Source organism: Homo sapiens, chromosome 6, assembly GCF_000001405.40.
Source record: "Homo sapiens chromosome 6, GRCh38.p14 Primary Assembly".
NCBI lineage: Eukaryota > Metazoa > Chordata > Mammalia > Primates > Hominidae > Homo > Homo sapiens.
Window position 1 is genome coordinate 30,199,536 of NC_000006.12, and position 13,641 is coordinate 30,213,176.

General features: G+C 44.8%; 1 protein-coding gene across 13 annotated transcripts in view, besides 3 other annotated features; it reads right to left on the bottom strand.

The window, feature by feature from the left end:
- TRIM26 (tripartite motif containing 26) overlaps positions 1-13,641 on the bottom strand; it is a 28,952-nt gene that overhangs the window by 15,081 nt on the left and 230 nt on the right. For 3 of the 13 annotated variants that reach the window (XM_047419308.1, XM_005249375.3, XM_005249376.3), the window contains exons 2-3: positions 5,121-5,230; positions 1,500-1,588 (exon numbers count right to left, since the gene is read on the bottom strand). The exons of 2 other annotated variants lie outside the window; for them this stretch is intronic. The gene's annotated coding sequence lies outside the window, so the exon portion shown is untranslated. Of the gene's footprint in view, positions 1-1,499; positions 1,604-5,120; positions 5,231-13,641 lie in introns of all 13 variants that reach the window. 8 more of the 13 variants (XM_011514859.2, XM_005249374.3, NM_003449.5 and 5 more) reach the window with 3 other exon arrangements.
- Positions 1,681-2,366: an enhancer, noted in NCBI's record as "NANOG-H3K27ac hESC enhancer chr6:30168993-30169678 (GRCh37/hg19 assembly coordinates)". NCBI's record gives its function as "activates a minimal SCP1, AML or CMV promoter by ChIP-STARR-seq in primed H9 embryonic stem cells {active_cell/tissue: H9 hESC(primed)}" and the evidence as "EXISTENCE:reporter gene assay evidence [ECO:0000049][PMID:30033119]".
- Positions 2,367-3,051: an enhancer, noted in NCBI's record as "NANOG-H3K27ac hESC enhancer chr6:30169679-30170363 (GRCh37/hg19 assembly coordinates)". NCBI's record gives its function as "activates a minimal SCP1, AML or CMV promoter by ChIP-STARR-seq in primed H9 embryonic stem cells {active_cell/tissue: H9 hESC(primed)}" and the evidence as "EXISTENCE:reporter gene assay evidence [ECO:0000049][PMID:30033119]".
- Positions 7,871-8,818: an enhancer, noted in NCBI's record as "NANOG-H3K27ac-H3K4me1 hESC enhancer chr6:30175183-30176130 (GRCh37/hg19 assembly coordinates)". NCBI's record gives its function as "activates a minimal SCP1, AML or CMV promoter by ChIP-STARR-seq in naive H9 embryonic stem cells {active_cell/tissue: H9 hESC(naive)}" and the evidence as "EXISTENCE:reporter gene assay evidence [ECO:0000049][PMID:30033119]".

Sequence of the window (13,641 nt, forward strand, 5' to 3'; positions counted from 1 at the left end):
TACTGTGGACACAGTGCTCCTTCACTCAACTGTGCAAAGCACAAGACACACGAGCAGTCATGGGGGTCCTGACAGAGTCAAGAGACCGCCCGTTTTTTTTTTTTGGTTTTTTTTTTTTTGAGATGGAGTCTTACTCTGTCGCCCAGGCTGGAGTGCAGTGGCGTGATCTCAGCTCACTGCAACCTCCGCCTCCCAGGTTCACACCATTCTCCTGCCTCAGCCTCCCGAGTAGCTGGGACTACAGGCACCCACCACCACACCTGGCTAATTTTTTGTATTTTTAGTAGAGACGGGGTTTCACCGTGTTAGCCAGGATGGTCTTGATCTCCCGACCTCGTGATCCACCTGCCTCGGCCTCCCAAAGTGCTGGGATTACAGGCGTGAGCCACTGCACCTGGCCAAGAGACCCCTTTTGTTTGCTCCTCAAGGTTTCAGGTTTCAAGAACTAAGAGAGGGCAATGTGACATGGCTCACCCTGTAAATCCAACACTTTGGGTGGCTGAGGCAGGAGGATCACTTGAACCGAGGAGTTTGAAACCAGCCTCAGCAACATAGTGAGACCCTGTCTCAACTAAAAAAATTTAAAAATTTTTTAAAATACCCCAGTGTAGTAGCATGCATCTGTAGTCTCAGCTACTGAGGAGGCTGTGGCAGAAGGATTACTTGAATCTGGGAGGTGGAGGCTACAGTGAGCCATGATTGTACTACTACACTCCAGACTGGGCAACAGAATAAGAGACTGTCTCAAAACAAACAAAAAACCAGAAAACATTAAAAAACAAACAAACAAACAGCACTGAGGTTCTTTACCAAAACTCGAGAAGCATCAGGAAGCTTCAGGAGTCTGACTGTCAGCATTTCCCTTTGTGAGTATTTCCCTGGGCTGTTCTATAGTTTGGGTTTAATTTGCTTCCCCTAGAAGGCTGGACTCTAAACACAGCCCTCCAGAGGAGCACAGCTTAGCCTCAGTGGACTTGTTCTTGGCTGTAACTGCCTCGTCTAGATGGCAGGAATCCTCAGGTGGCTGTGGCTGCTATGTGCTGTGAGGCCTTGGCTTGTACAGGGAGCGGGGACACACAGAAAGGACTCTGCTTCTGTTTACCTTTGTAGTCCTGACCCAGTTCCAGGCTGAGGTTATGAGCCTCAGCACATCTAACCCAAGAGCAGCCTCCTGCCCCTGACTCTGTGTGACAATACAGAAGTCACTTAAGTACTGAGCCTCAGTGTATCCATCTGTAAAATGGGAAGAGTGATACTTACCTTTAAGGGTTTCTAAGCAGGTCATGTGAAAGAATTATGGGAAAAGTGCTAAGCACAAGCCTGGTACACAGACGGAAATCTAGGAGAGAACCCACAACCCCTGGTTTCCAAATCCAGTGAGTGTCCAAACCACAAACAAAGAGTTAAATTCAAAAGTGGCAGCAAAAGAGGAAGTGAGCAGAACCAGCCACAGTGACACACGTGCTACAGAGTTCAACAACATCGTCACAGGGCAGTACCTGGAGGACTTGCTCTCCTATAGATCCATGGAAGGCAACTACAGCAGCGCTGGGAAGACAACCAGCAGGGCACAGAGGTGACTGCGAGGCTGGAATGAAGCAACCTGAATTACAGGCAAATCAATACTATTAATGATTATGTATGGTGAAAGTCCATCACAACAGAGTTCAGTGGCCTCTGTCAGTAGTGACATTAATGGGACAGAAATAAAACCCCCAGTCTATAAGACCCAAGAGTAAACAAAACAGGGATATAACGTCCACTCATTGAGGGTCTAGTACAATAATACATAAAAAGTGTTTTATAACGTAAAAGGACTACATAAATATAAGAGATTCTTATAGTGCTGATAATAAATTCCAACTGGAAGCACTAATGGATCTAGGTATGTGTGACTTTAAGAGACATAATGAGGGGAAAATCAAGCACCTTCAAAGCTCAAATGAAGGATTCAAGGAATTTAACTGTCAAGTGAAAGTAATATCAAGTTCCTACATGTTAGTAATGCTGGTAGAAATGCTAGGAATTGGCCGGGCACGGTGGCTCACACCTGTAATCCCAACACTTTGGGAGGCCGAGGCAGGTGAATCACAATGTCAGGAGATTGAGACCATCCTGGCTAACACGGTGAAACCCCATCTCTACTAAAAATACAAAAATTATCCAGGTGTGGTAGCATGCACCTGTAGTCCCAGCTACTCAGGAGGCTGAGGCAGGAGAATCAATCACCTCAACCCGGGAGGCAGAGGTTGCAGTGAGCCGAGATCGTGCCATTGCACTCCAGCCTGGGTGACAGAGTGAGACTCCATCTCAAAAAAAAAAAAAGAAAGAAATGCTAGGAATTGCCTGGTCCAACTCCTTGGCTTTACTGTTGAGGAAATAAGCCTGGCTCAGCAGTTTTTCAGTTGTAACATACTGCAAGTGTTTGGAAAGAGGAAAAAGGAGTGGTACTGGGCGTGTCTGTGGGCTTTCAAGCCCTTTATCATGCCTCTTTGCCAAATGGCCTAGAAGTTTAAAAGCTGAGGTTTTTCTTTGTTGAAGGATAGCCTGTGTTATCTTTGGGTTGGGAACTTATTTTGCAATTTACTTGCAAAATAAGAACAATAAAAGGACTATGAAGAGCTCAGCTACAGCTCTTCTTCCATGCAAAACAGGACACCTCATCACCCAGGCTCCATGCTGGGGTTTGATGGTCTCTAAACCTCCTGAAACTGTCTAAAAATTATTGCATATGTACTAGATACCTAAAATTGTCTGGGGATTACAGAAGAATAACCTTCTGTAAGATTAATCAGCAAATAAGTAGAAGAGGGATAACAGAATTAGAAAATCATTTTGCGACTGCCATTATAATAGCACAAGGATCATCAATAGATGCTAAAACTATTAGGTGAAAAGTTTTGGGGGATGAGATAGTACCCATGGTGCCAAAGCACCAATGAATGGATTACTTCCTGACATACCTTCATAAGGAAGAGATCCAGTGGTTATCTTAACTAAGTGACCAAATCCAGCGTCATCAGCAGACGGGGCAAAGTGGCATGTGCTTTCTGGCATGGCACTATATGAATCACACAACATTACCTATGAAGTGTTTGTGCCAAAAATGTTTGACTTGAATGAATCTAGTCAAGACTTTAGATCTAACTTCCAGTTTATAAAAAATATAAAGGAAAGGAATACTCTGAAGTATGTTATAACTGAAAAAGTACCGATGGAGGAATTAAACCACACCATAAGGAAAGAACCAGATAAATCCAGAATGCTGGACATTGCACATGGCAACTGGCCTAGTCTTTTAAAAAGTCAATGTCATAAAAAAAAACCTTCGAAAGAACTGCTTTTGATTTTTACAGACTAAAGAGAAATAATAACCAAATGCAATACGTGAACCTTGATTGGATCCTGTAAAAAGAAAAAAAAGGTTATAAAAATAGTCTTGGAACTATTGTGGGAAATTTGTAAGTAGGCTGGGTGTTAGATCATATTAAAAAATTATTTCCTCTCTTTCTTTTTTTTTTTTTTTTTTTTGAGACAGGGTCTTACTCTGTCCCCCAGAGTGCAGTGGAACTATCTGGGCTCACTGCAACCTCGGCCTCCCTGGCTCAAGCAATCTTCTCATCTCAGGCTCCCGAGTTGCTGCAACAACAGGTGCATACTACCACACTTGGCTAATTTTTAAAGGTTTTTGTAGAGAAGAGTTGCCACTATATTGCCCAGGCTGGTCTCAAACTCCTAGGCTCAAGCCATCCTCCCACCTCAGCCTCCCAAAGTGCTGGGATTATAGGCATGAGCAACTGCACCATGTCTAAAATTATTTTCTTAATGGTATTTACTGAGGTTATGTATGAGAATGCCTATACTTCTTATTTATTTATTAATATATTTATTTATTTTTGAGATGGAGTTTTTCTCTTGTTGCCCAGGCTGGAGTGCAATGGCGCAATCTGGCTCACTACAACCTTCGCTTGCCAGGTTCAAGCGATTCTCCTGCCTCAGCCTCCCTAGTAGCTGGGATTACAGGTGCCCACCACCACATCCGGCTAATTTTTTGTAGTTTTAGTAGAGACGGGGTTTCACCAGGTTGGCCAGGCTGGTCTCAAACTCCTGACCTCAGGTGATCCACCTGCCTTGGCTTCCCAAAGTGCTGGGATTACAGGTGTGAGCCACCGCGCCCGGCTGAGAATACCTGTATTTCTAGGCAATGGATGCTGTAGTATTTAGAGCTCCATGTCTCCCACCTAATTTGAAATGGTTCCTTTCTTTTTTTTTTTTTTGAGACAGGGTCTTACTCTGTCCCCCGAGTGCAGTGGAACTATCTTGGCTCACTGCAAAGCAAAATAAAAAGCTAGAAAAGTTTTCTGGGGAGGGAGCTACAGTTTTCTATCACATTCTTAAAGAGGTCTGTAGTAACCATCAAAAATGGTTAAATCACTGATACAGAGATCATGGTGCTTGACACCTTGTAGAAGCTCAATACACATTTACTGAACAAGTGAATGGATTCAGGGGAATTGCAGACAATGTTAGTTGTATAGAACCATTTGTTTTTGAGAGTCTGCCATAACCAGATAAATGAAACACAGTACCACTTCTATGACCAATCCCTTCCCTTGCTTATACAGACTCCTTCTGAGGAAACTGAGGCTCAGCAGGGTTAAGCAACTTGCCCAAGAGCACATGGCTAGGAAGCAGTGTCTGGTGCCAAGGCCTCTGCTCAATCCACTACACTCTCTTCCCTACCCAGGCACACTGTAAAATGGGGTCTAATACCAGCTCCTTTGTTAGGAAGCTCAGATGAGGTCATCTACATGGAAGGGCTTTGTAAGCGGAGTAATGCTGACAAAAGAAAGGGGGCATATATTCTGCTGATACTGACCAAAAGCACCCTAGCCTTAGCTATGACAAACTTTCACATATGGGGTGAGCAATAAAGTGTCCCTGTTGGACAGTAGTTTTCCTTCTTAGTGATAGAGGATCTCAAGATTTCAGAATTAGGAGAAATGAGGTTGAGTATGAGAGATGTGAGCAGACCAGAATAACCGCTCCCCTTCCCCATACACAATTCTGTCAGGTCCAATGCAAAATTCACCCTCTCCAAAAACTCTTCCCCAACTTACCGCACCCTGCTATGGTTCTGCCCTTTTATGCCGTCAGTATATTCTCTGTGATCTCAACAGGTTTCCACAATAAGAGGTAAAACCATTACCCTTCTCTCCATTCCTGACTCCTGGGCAGACAGAAACCAAAATCAGAGCCAAAAAAAAAAAACCTCAGAGATGACCCACTCCACCCCCACTCCCTTTACTCAGATGAGAATTCTGAACCTGAAGAAGTCACTTCATGAACTCCCTTGCACCAGAGGTCACACATCCCTGCTGGGGGTGAGGGGGTATTTTTCTGTCTCTTCAATAAACCAGAAGCGGCCGGGCGCGGTGGCTTCTGCCTGTAATCCTAGCACTCTGGGAGGCAGAGGCGGGTGGATCACCTGAGATCGGGAGTTTGAGACCAGCCTGACCAACAAGGAGAAACCCCATCTCTACTAACAATACAAAATTAGCCAGGTGTGGTGGCGCATGCCTATAATCCCAGCTACTGGGCAGGCTGAGGCAGGAGAATCGCTTGAACCCAGGAGGCGGAGGTTGCAGTGAGCTGAGATCACGCCAATTGCACTCCAGCCTGGGCAACAAGAGCAAAACTCCATCTCAAAAAATAAAAATGAAAAAATAAACCAGAAGCTAGCTGCAATTCTATAGAACCAGGAAGATGCAACAAACAAGCCCTGCAATGTCCTGGTACCCTCCTCACAGGCAGAACTGCAGACACTCCCTACCTTTCTCTAAGAGGTTCCCTTTTCCCTGAAATCCACCCCTCCCCTATAAGTCTCTGGATCTCATAAATACCTAATCTGCATATGTCAACAGACTGGTCAAGGTGACACCATGTAATTTCAAGATGTGGATGCATGCACGATTATTGGCTCCAAGAATAATCACTATGAGCTACAAAAACTAGCTGAAAGCCGGGCACGGGGGCTTGTGCCTGTAATTCCAGCACTGTGGGAGGCTAAGGCAGGAGGACTGCCTGAGCCCAGGAGTTTGAGACCAGCCTGGGTAATATAGTGAGACATTGTCTCCAAAAAAAGAAATTAGCTGAATTAGCTGGGTGCGATGGCACATGCCTATAGTTCCAGCTACTTAGGAAGTTGAGGCAGGAGGATCTCCCGAGCCCGGGAAGTTGAGGCTGCAGACAGCCATGACTGCGCCACTGCACTCCAGCCTGGGTGAAACTCTGGCCTGCCTCCGGCTCCTAGATGCCACCCAGAGAGGTGCCCTGGTAGACAGTGAATCCCAAATGTGGACTCTGGGGCCCAAGAAAGTAAATGGAGAGGCCTGGGTTTTCATCCTGGCCTCCAGGGTACCAGTTCAGGCCTCTCTTGAGTATCCCAAGCTGCTTCTCAAGCATATGTCTGGACCTCCAAACAAGAGCAAAGCACCTGTAATCCCAAAGCACTTAGCCTAGAGCTCCATTCCCTGTGGGTACTCCATTTAAGGGCTCCTGGGTCCCAGATTAATCCCCATATTTTAATCTGAGATAAGCAAACTCTCCATGGGGTAAACTTCCGTGAGACACCTCTAACAAACCTGGAGAGGCCAGAATTCGGGGCAAAAAGCAAGTGATCTGGATGTGCATACTAGGAGTGACTGCACCCCTACTGGCCAGGCCAAAGGCCTGGATCCCAGGCTGTCCCAGGAGATCCCAGTGACTGTGGATGATGCGTTCTTGTGGTCACACTTGGCTTACTTTCCCCACGGAGCCGAGCATCAGTGGTGCTCTGAAGCACAGTGCAGGCCACAAAAACTACCAGGGCTCTGAACGCTAGAAATCCCCACAGGGCTCAAAGAGGGGCAGGAGGTAGCAGCCAGCTGGGAGGTGGATGAGACAAGGCGTTAAATTGCCCTGGTCTTGTGGCTGACCCACAGGGGAAAATTGAGGGTTCTTCATATTTGTGCCAGAATATCTGTCTAATGTTGAATCATGAACCAAGCTCTCTTGTCTAAAATATTCCTAAGTGTCACTTGGTGCTTTGCACCAAATATAGGAAGGAATCCTTTATCATCTTGTGGAATGGTTCAAACCTTGACTACACATCAGATTTGTAGTCTTCAAACTGGTGAGTCTTCAAAACATACCTAGACCAACTGACTTAGGATCTCCAGAGGTGGCCCAGGCTCTGGTATTAAAAAACAAACTTCCCAGGAGATTCTAAAGTCTATCCAGGACTGTGAATCACTAGAACCCCTTATTTACAGAGGAGGACAGTGAGTGCCAGAGCCTCGGACTCATTTGCCCAGCAGCAGAGCTGGCTGGCAGCAAGGCCAGCACTAGCACGAGGTGGGGTGAGGTGCACCTCCCAGCTCTGGGCTCCTTCCATTCCACCATACACTGCACTTTGGTGCCTGGAAAATGAACTCTTCCCTGCCCATATGGAGTGCTGTGGAGGGTTAGCCTCACAGGCAGAGGAAATCATCCGCCGGAGAAAGGGTAGCGGTGAATTTGAGGAGCTGACAATTGGCCACAGGTGGAGTGCAGTGAGGCGAGCAGAGGAAGGGTGGAGAAACAGGAGGGAACAGATTATGCAAGACTGTGACCCAGGTTAAGAATTTTGGACTTTATCCTAACAGCCCTGGGAAGCCATTGAGGGTTTAAGCAGCAGGATGTTGAAAGTTATTCAACAGCTAGCAGATGTTTATTAGGTGCCGACTATGTGTCAGGCACCGAGGTTACAGCAGAGAACAAAAGTGGCAAACTCCCTGTCCTACCAGAACTTACATCCAGTGACCTGAGGAATCCTTTAGAAGCTGAAATCAGATCCAACTGTGGGATCATCAAACCCTCAAGGGTTTCCTGATTTACATAAACCTCCTCTCCCCTTTGCTGCCCCAGTGCTGCAGCCACTCTGGCCTTTTGATCCTCAAACACACTCGGTCACGTGTTAAACTGCCAATCTGCCCGGGTGACCAACCAGGTTAAACCCCTCAATGGCTTTCTGGTGCTCCAGGAATAAAGTCAAAACTCCTGTCCTTCCTTTCTTCTGTGAGGAGGCTGTCCCAGGAGATCCTAGCTGGATTCCCAGATAATCATGGCCCAGCCTGTGTCTCCAGGCTCATTTCCTGCCACTCCCCACCTCAAACTCACAGCCAAACCAAACCGCTCTCCATGCCTCAAAGTGCTATGCTCTTTCCTGGCTAAGCCCTTCGACAATGTAATTCCTTCTGCCTAGAACACCATCCCTTTCCCACTTAGCAAATGCCTTTTCTAGCTTGAAGTCTCAGCTGAAAGCCACCTCCTCTGGCAATTCTTTCCTGACCTGTCAGATTGGGTCCACATGTAGTCTAGTTATACAGCCCCAAAACACCCCATGCTGCACCCTGTACTTCTCTGCAGTTTTAAGTCCTGACTTATTAGTGTAATTACTCGCTTAACACCAGCTTTTTCCATGAAACAAGGAGAGAGATTGTGTCTGTCTTATCACCAGAATCTACATATTACTTGGCACAGAGTAGACAATAAAAACTGACTGAGAAAACAAAGCACAAGCACAGAGTATCTGACACAAAGAAGATGCTTCCTACACATCTGCTGAAGGAATGCGAACAATCTTAGCCACCTGCCCTTTCTCTCCAGCAAGATGGTAGTAAATTGGTAGAGAGAGAAGCAATTTCTTCATATTCCCTGTAGCAGCAAGAACAGTGGGCTGCACGTCACCAGCAAATCATCGTATCCAAGGTTTCGCTCCAGCAACTTACAGAAACCAGGAGAAGAAAAAGCTGTGTCTGAGAAAATGGTTGTTGTGGAGTAAATTGTAATAGTGAGAATCACTCCTTCCCTTTTCTTTAGTTTTAGACCTAGGTATACACCCCATAAACAGAGTTTATTTTCTCAGGTTTTGAGCCTCAAATGAATGGAATTTTTTTCCTTTTTTTTTTTTTTTTTTCCATGTATTTGGGTGGGGGGCTGTCAACATGTTTGTGAGGCTCATCCATGTGATTATGAGCTGATTTTACTTAATTGCTGCTCTCTAACTATACAATTTTTAATGCAGTCTACTGATAGCCATATGAGTTGTTTCCAGTTTGGGACAATTACAAACACTGCTTCAGTGAATATTTCTGCATACATGTTCTAGCACACACAGGCAAGATGTACCCTCAATTTGACTAAGCAGGCCAAACTGTTTCCAAAGTGACTATAGTGCTATGTAGTCTGCTCAGCAGGCTATGAGCACTCATGATGCCCCACAGCCTCACCAACACCTGATAATATCAGCTTTAATTTTTGCCACTCTGGAGGATGGGATATAGAATATGTGTGTGTGTGTGTGTGTGTGTGTGTGTGTGTGTGTGTGTGTGTGTATTTAACTCCCCAAAAGGAAACAGCATGAGACAGGCCCAATAACAGGCCAAGGAATCCTATAGCAGCAGACCAGATATTGTGCTCCTCGACCCAACCAGTAAATGTTGTAAATGTTTATCTTTGGGGAGAGAAGGGGAAGGGCCCACCCAGCTTCTGTTCTTCTTTCCCTTGGTAACTTACCATCTATGAGTTAGTGAGATGGAGACATCCTAACCATTAATCCAGGGAAAGGGAGGAATCTAAGCCATCAGCAAGGGAGTTAGTGCTTTTCATCAAATTTGAGACACCTGTGACATCACATTTTAGCATCTCTGAAATGTGATCAATTGCATGTCATAATTTAACTGGCAAAATATTTTTTTGATGTGGAGCATAAAATAAGGGCACATAAAAGATTTGGTGGTGCTGTGGTTTGAACATGTCCCCCAAAAGTTCACGTGTTGGAAACGTAATTGCCAATGTAACGGTATTAAGAGGTGGGGTCTTTAAGACGTGACTGGGTCATGAGGGTGTAACTCTCATGAATGGATTAATGCCTTTCTTGCAAGAGTCCATTGGCCAGAACCGTGAGCTGAATAAACATCTGTTGTTTACAATTTACCCAGTCTGTGGTATTCTGTTACAGCAACAGAAAATGGATTAAGACAAATAGCATCTTAGATTTGGTGAGATGTGGCATATTTCCTAAAAAGTGCTGCCAGGATCATCCTTCTAGCACACAGGATCTCATCCTTGTTATTCTCCTGCTTCAAATCTCCTAGCTGAGGCTGGGTTTGGTGCCTCATGCCTATAATCCTAGCACTGTGGGAGGCTGAGGCAGGAGGATCCCTTGAATCCAGGGGTTCAAGACTAGCCTGGCCAACATAGGGAGAGACTGTCTCTAAAATAAAATAAATAAATAAAAATAAAAATAAAAATAAAAACAAACACACCAAAAAAACTCCTACTAGCTGAGGTCAAAACTGCACAGGTGGCCGGGCACGGTGCCTCACGCCTGTAATCCCAGCACTTTGGGAGGCCGAGGTGGGCAGATCATGAGGTCAAGAGATCGAGACCATCCTGGCCAACATGGTGAAACCCAGCCTCTACTAAAAATACAAAAATTAGCCGGGCATGGTGGCACGCGCCTGTAGTCCTAGCTACTCGGGAGGCTGAGGCAGGAGAATCGCTTGAACCCAGGAGGCGGAGGTTGCAGTGAGCTGAGATCACGCCACTGCACTCCAGCCTGGGTGACAGAGCGAGACTCTGACTCAAAACAAAAAAAAAAAACTGCACAGACATCCTCCCCTGCCCTGCATCCGGCTAGCCCCAACTTACCCATCCAGCCCCAAATCCCTCCTCGTCCTACCTAATTCTCTGGCCATTAGATACACTGAACCAGGAAGACAGCCCCTTCTTCACTCCCCACTCTCCACCCATTCCCTTGTACATGCTCTTCTCTCCAGTCCAGCGCATCCTTGAAGGCTTGAATACAATTTGTCCCCTTATCTGTGAGGTGTTTCCTGTACCCATCCCACCTCTGAGTTGAATGTATCCCTCCTCCTGCAGCTTTGCATACACTGTATTTCTACAATAGCACTATCACAGTGCTTCATACAGTAGCACCCCCCATCCGCTAAAGATACATTCATACAGGAGTCCCCTCAATCCTCAGGAGATGCATTCCAAAACCCCCAGTGGATGTCTGAAACCTGTTTCTCCTACACATACACACTTGTAATAAAGTTTATAAAGTAGGCACAGAAATAGATTAACAATAATAACACAACAGAATAACAATATACCGTAATAAAAGTTATATGCATGTGGTCTCTCTCTCTCTCAAACTATCTTGTACTGTACTTACCCTTCTTGTGATGAAGGAACAGTGGGAGGGCAAGAGATTTCATCATGCTACTCAGAACAATGCACATCTAAAACTTATGAATTGTTTACTTCTGGAATTTTCTGTTTACTGTCTTTGGGCTGAGGTTGACCATGGGTAACGGAAACCACGGAAAACTAAGCTATGGATAAGTGGCTGTAATTGATATTTTTATCTGTCTTCTCTCCCACCAGAATGTGAACCCAAAGGTCATGCCTCACTGACCTTTTTATCTCCAATATCTGGCACAAAGTAGGGGGTCTGCAAATGTTTGTGAAATGAATGACCTCCTCTAATTCCAGAGCCCTGCCATCTCCATTCTTCCCCCTTTCACTACACACCCCCCTTTCCCACATTAAAATTCTGCTTCAGCAGCAGGCTTCCAGGGCTCTCTTTAGATTAGACATTCTTGCCCACACACATTACCTAGATATCTCTTGGCCTCCCTCCACACACACACAATTTTGGGGGGAAGAACAAAATTCCATTTCTATAAAGCTGGCAAAATCTAATTCATCCTGATGCCAGCCAATTTATGTTTTTGTCTTCTCAAACCAATTTCCCATTCTCTGTGTCTTTTCTATTCTGATCCTGGGGGGGTCCAAGTCTGAAGTCATTCCAAGAAGCCTCAATACAGACCATGGACTCTCTTCGGGGGTTTGCAGTGTCTTCTGTGGTGGTCACACACAATCTGAGTCCAACCTGTTACTCCCCTGCAGGAAGTGATATCTAAGAAGTCACCCACTGCCTTAGGCCTTCAGTCTCCTTACCTCTTAACAAGGGGAAAATATTTTGCCAAGTTTACCAGGCTATTTGAGGTTGAGGCAAGGTCACATAAGTACGAGTGTCTCATTAGCAAAAAGCTCTATAAAAATACTATGAAAGAGCACAGGAGCCAATGTGAAAAGAGCTCCCAACAGCCAAAGCCACAGTAATTTGAGCAACAAAATTAAGTAGTATTGGATTATAAACCAAAGTATAAAATAAATGTCCCTGAGTCTACACTGAAATTAATGATTGAATAAATTAATAAATTGGGGGAAGAGAGAAACAAATCTTCCATGCAGAATAACTGCAAACAATAATATGTAGATACTTGCCCTCAAGAAGGGGGAATATAACTCTTGGCTCCCTAGGTATGGGCTGCACTTAGTGACTTCCTTCTAAAGAGGACAATACACGCAAAGAGTGGAAAAGAGACTAACTGTACAGTGGAGAAACCTGAAAAACACTATCTCACCCAAATCAATATTAAGTCATAAATCATGTTAGTACATGCCCTTGATACGATGGGATGATAATGGCAATCTACCTCTGTGGTCTTCCTCCCAGTTACCCATAAGCCCAGTCTTAGGAGAAAAACATCAAATTCCAATAGAGGGGCATCCTACAACATACACGACCAGTATTCTTCAATGCTGTCAAGGTCATCAAAACAAGTCTGAGAAACTCCCACAGCCAAGAGGAGCATAAGGAGACATGACAACTAAATGTAATGTGGTAACCTCCATGGGATCATGAAACAGAAAAAGTACTGAGGTAAAAACTAAGGAAATCTGAACACACTATGGACTTTGGTCAATAATAATGTATTGATATTGGTTAACTGCAACAAATGTACCACACTGAGGTAAGATGTTAATAACAGGGGATCCGGTTTGGAGCATGTGGGAAGTTTGTACTATCTTCTCAATTCTTCTGTAAATCTAAAAGTGTTGTAAGAAATAAAGTCTACTTAAACAATAAAATTGCAATTTTTGAAACATAAAAAGCCTATTTTTTTTAAAGGTGATTTTTTTGAACTTGGGGAAAAACATGTTAGGGATTATGATTTCAGCTAAGAGTTAAAAACAGGAGGTTAAGGCATGCATAAACGAATGTCATTCTCCCCTCTTTTGAAGTACACACAAATCGTGGGTCAAAATTTGAAATCTACTGGAGATTTGGAAGTGTGTCCCTCCCATTTACTCCACAGAGTTAAATTTACACTTTTTTTCTAAGGCCAAATAGGGAGAAAATCAGTAAGAAAAATGCTAATGAGCTGGAAGGAGTGAAAGCACAGCTCCAAGTATTTGTGGCTAAACCGGTTTACTCCGAACAAAAAAAAAAAAAAAAAAAAGAAAGAGAAAGAAAGCATGACACTTTGGTCAGGGAGCTGGATTAGTCGCCTATCTACCAGGCTCCAAGCAACCGGACGGTCATCCAGGCCCCGCTTACTTCTGGTTCCGCAGACTAGAATGGATGGGAGTCTGAGTAGGATACCAGAAAGCGAGAAAGACCCAAGAGGAGGGGGAGAATGTAAGGACAAGCAAACAGGAGGGATCTGGCTGGCAGGGAGGACGCAGCGAACTTGACCCCCT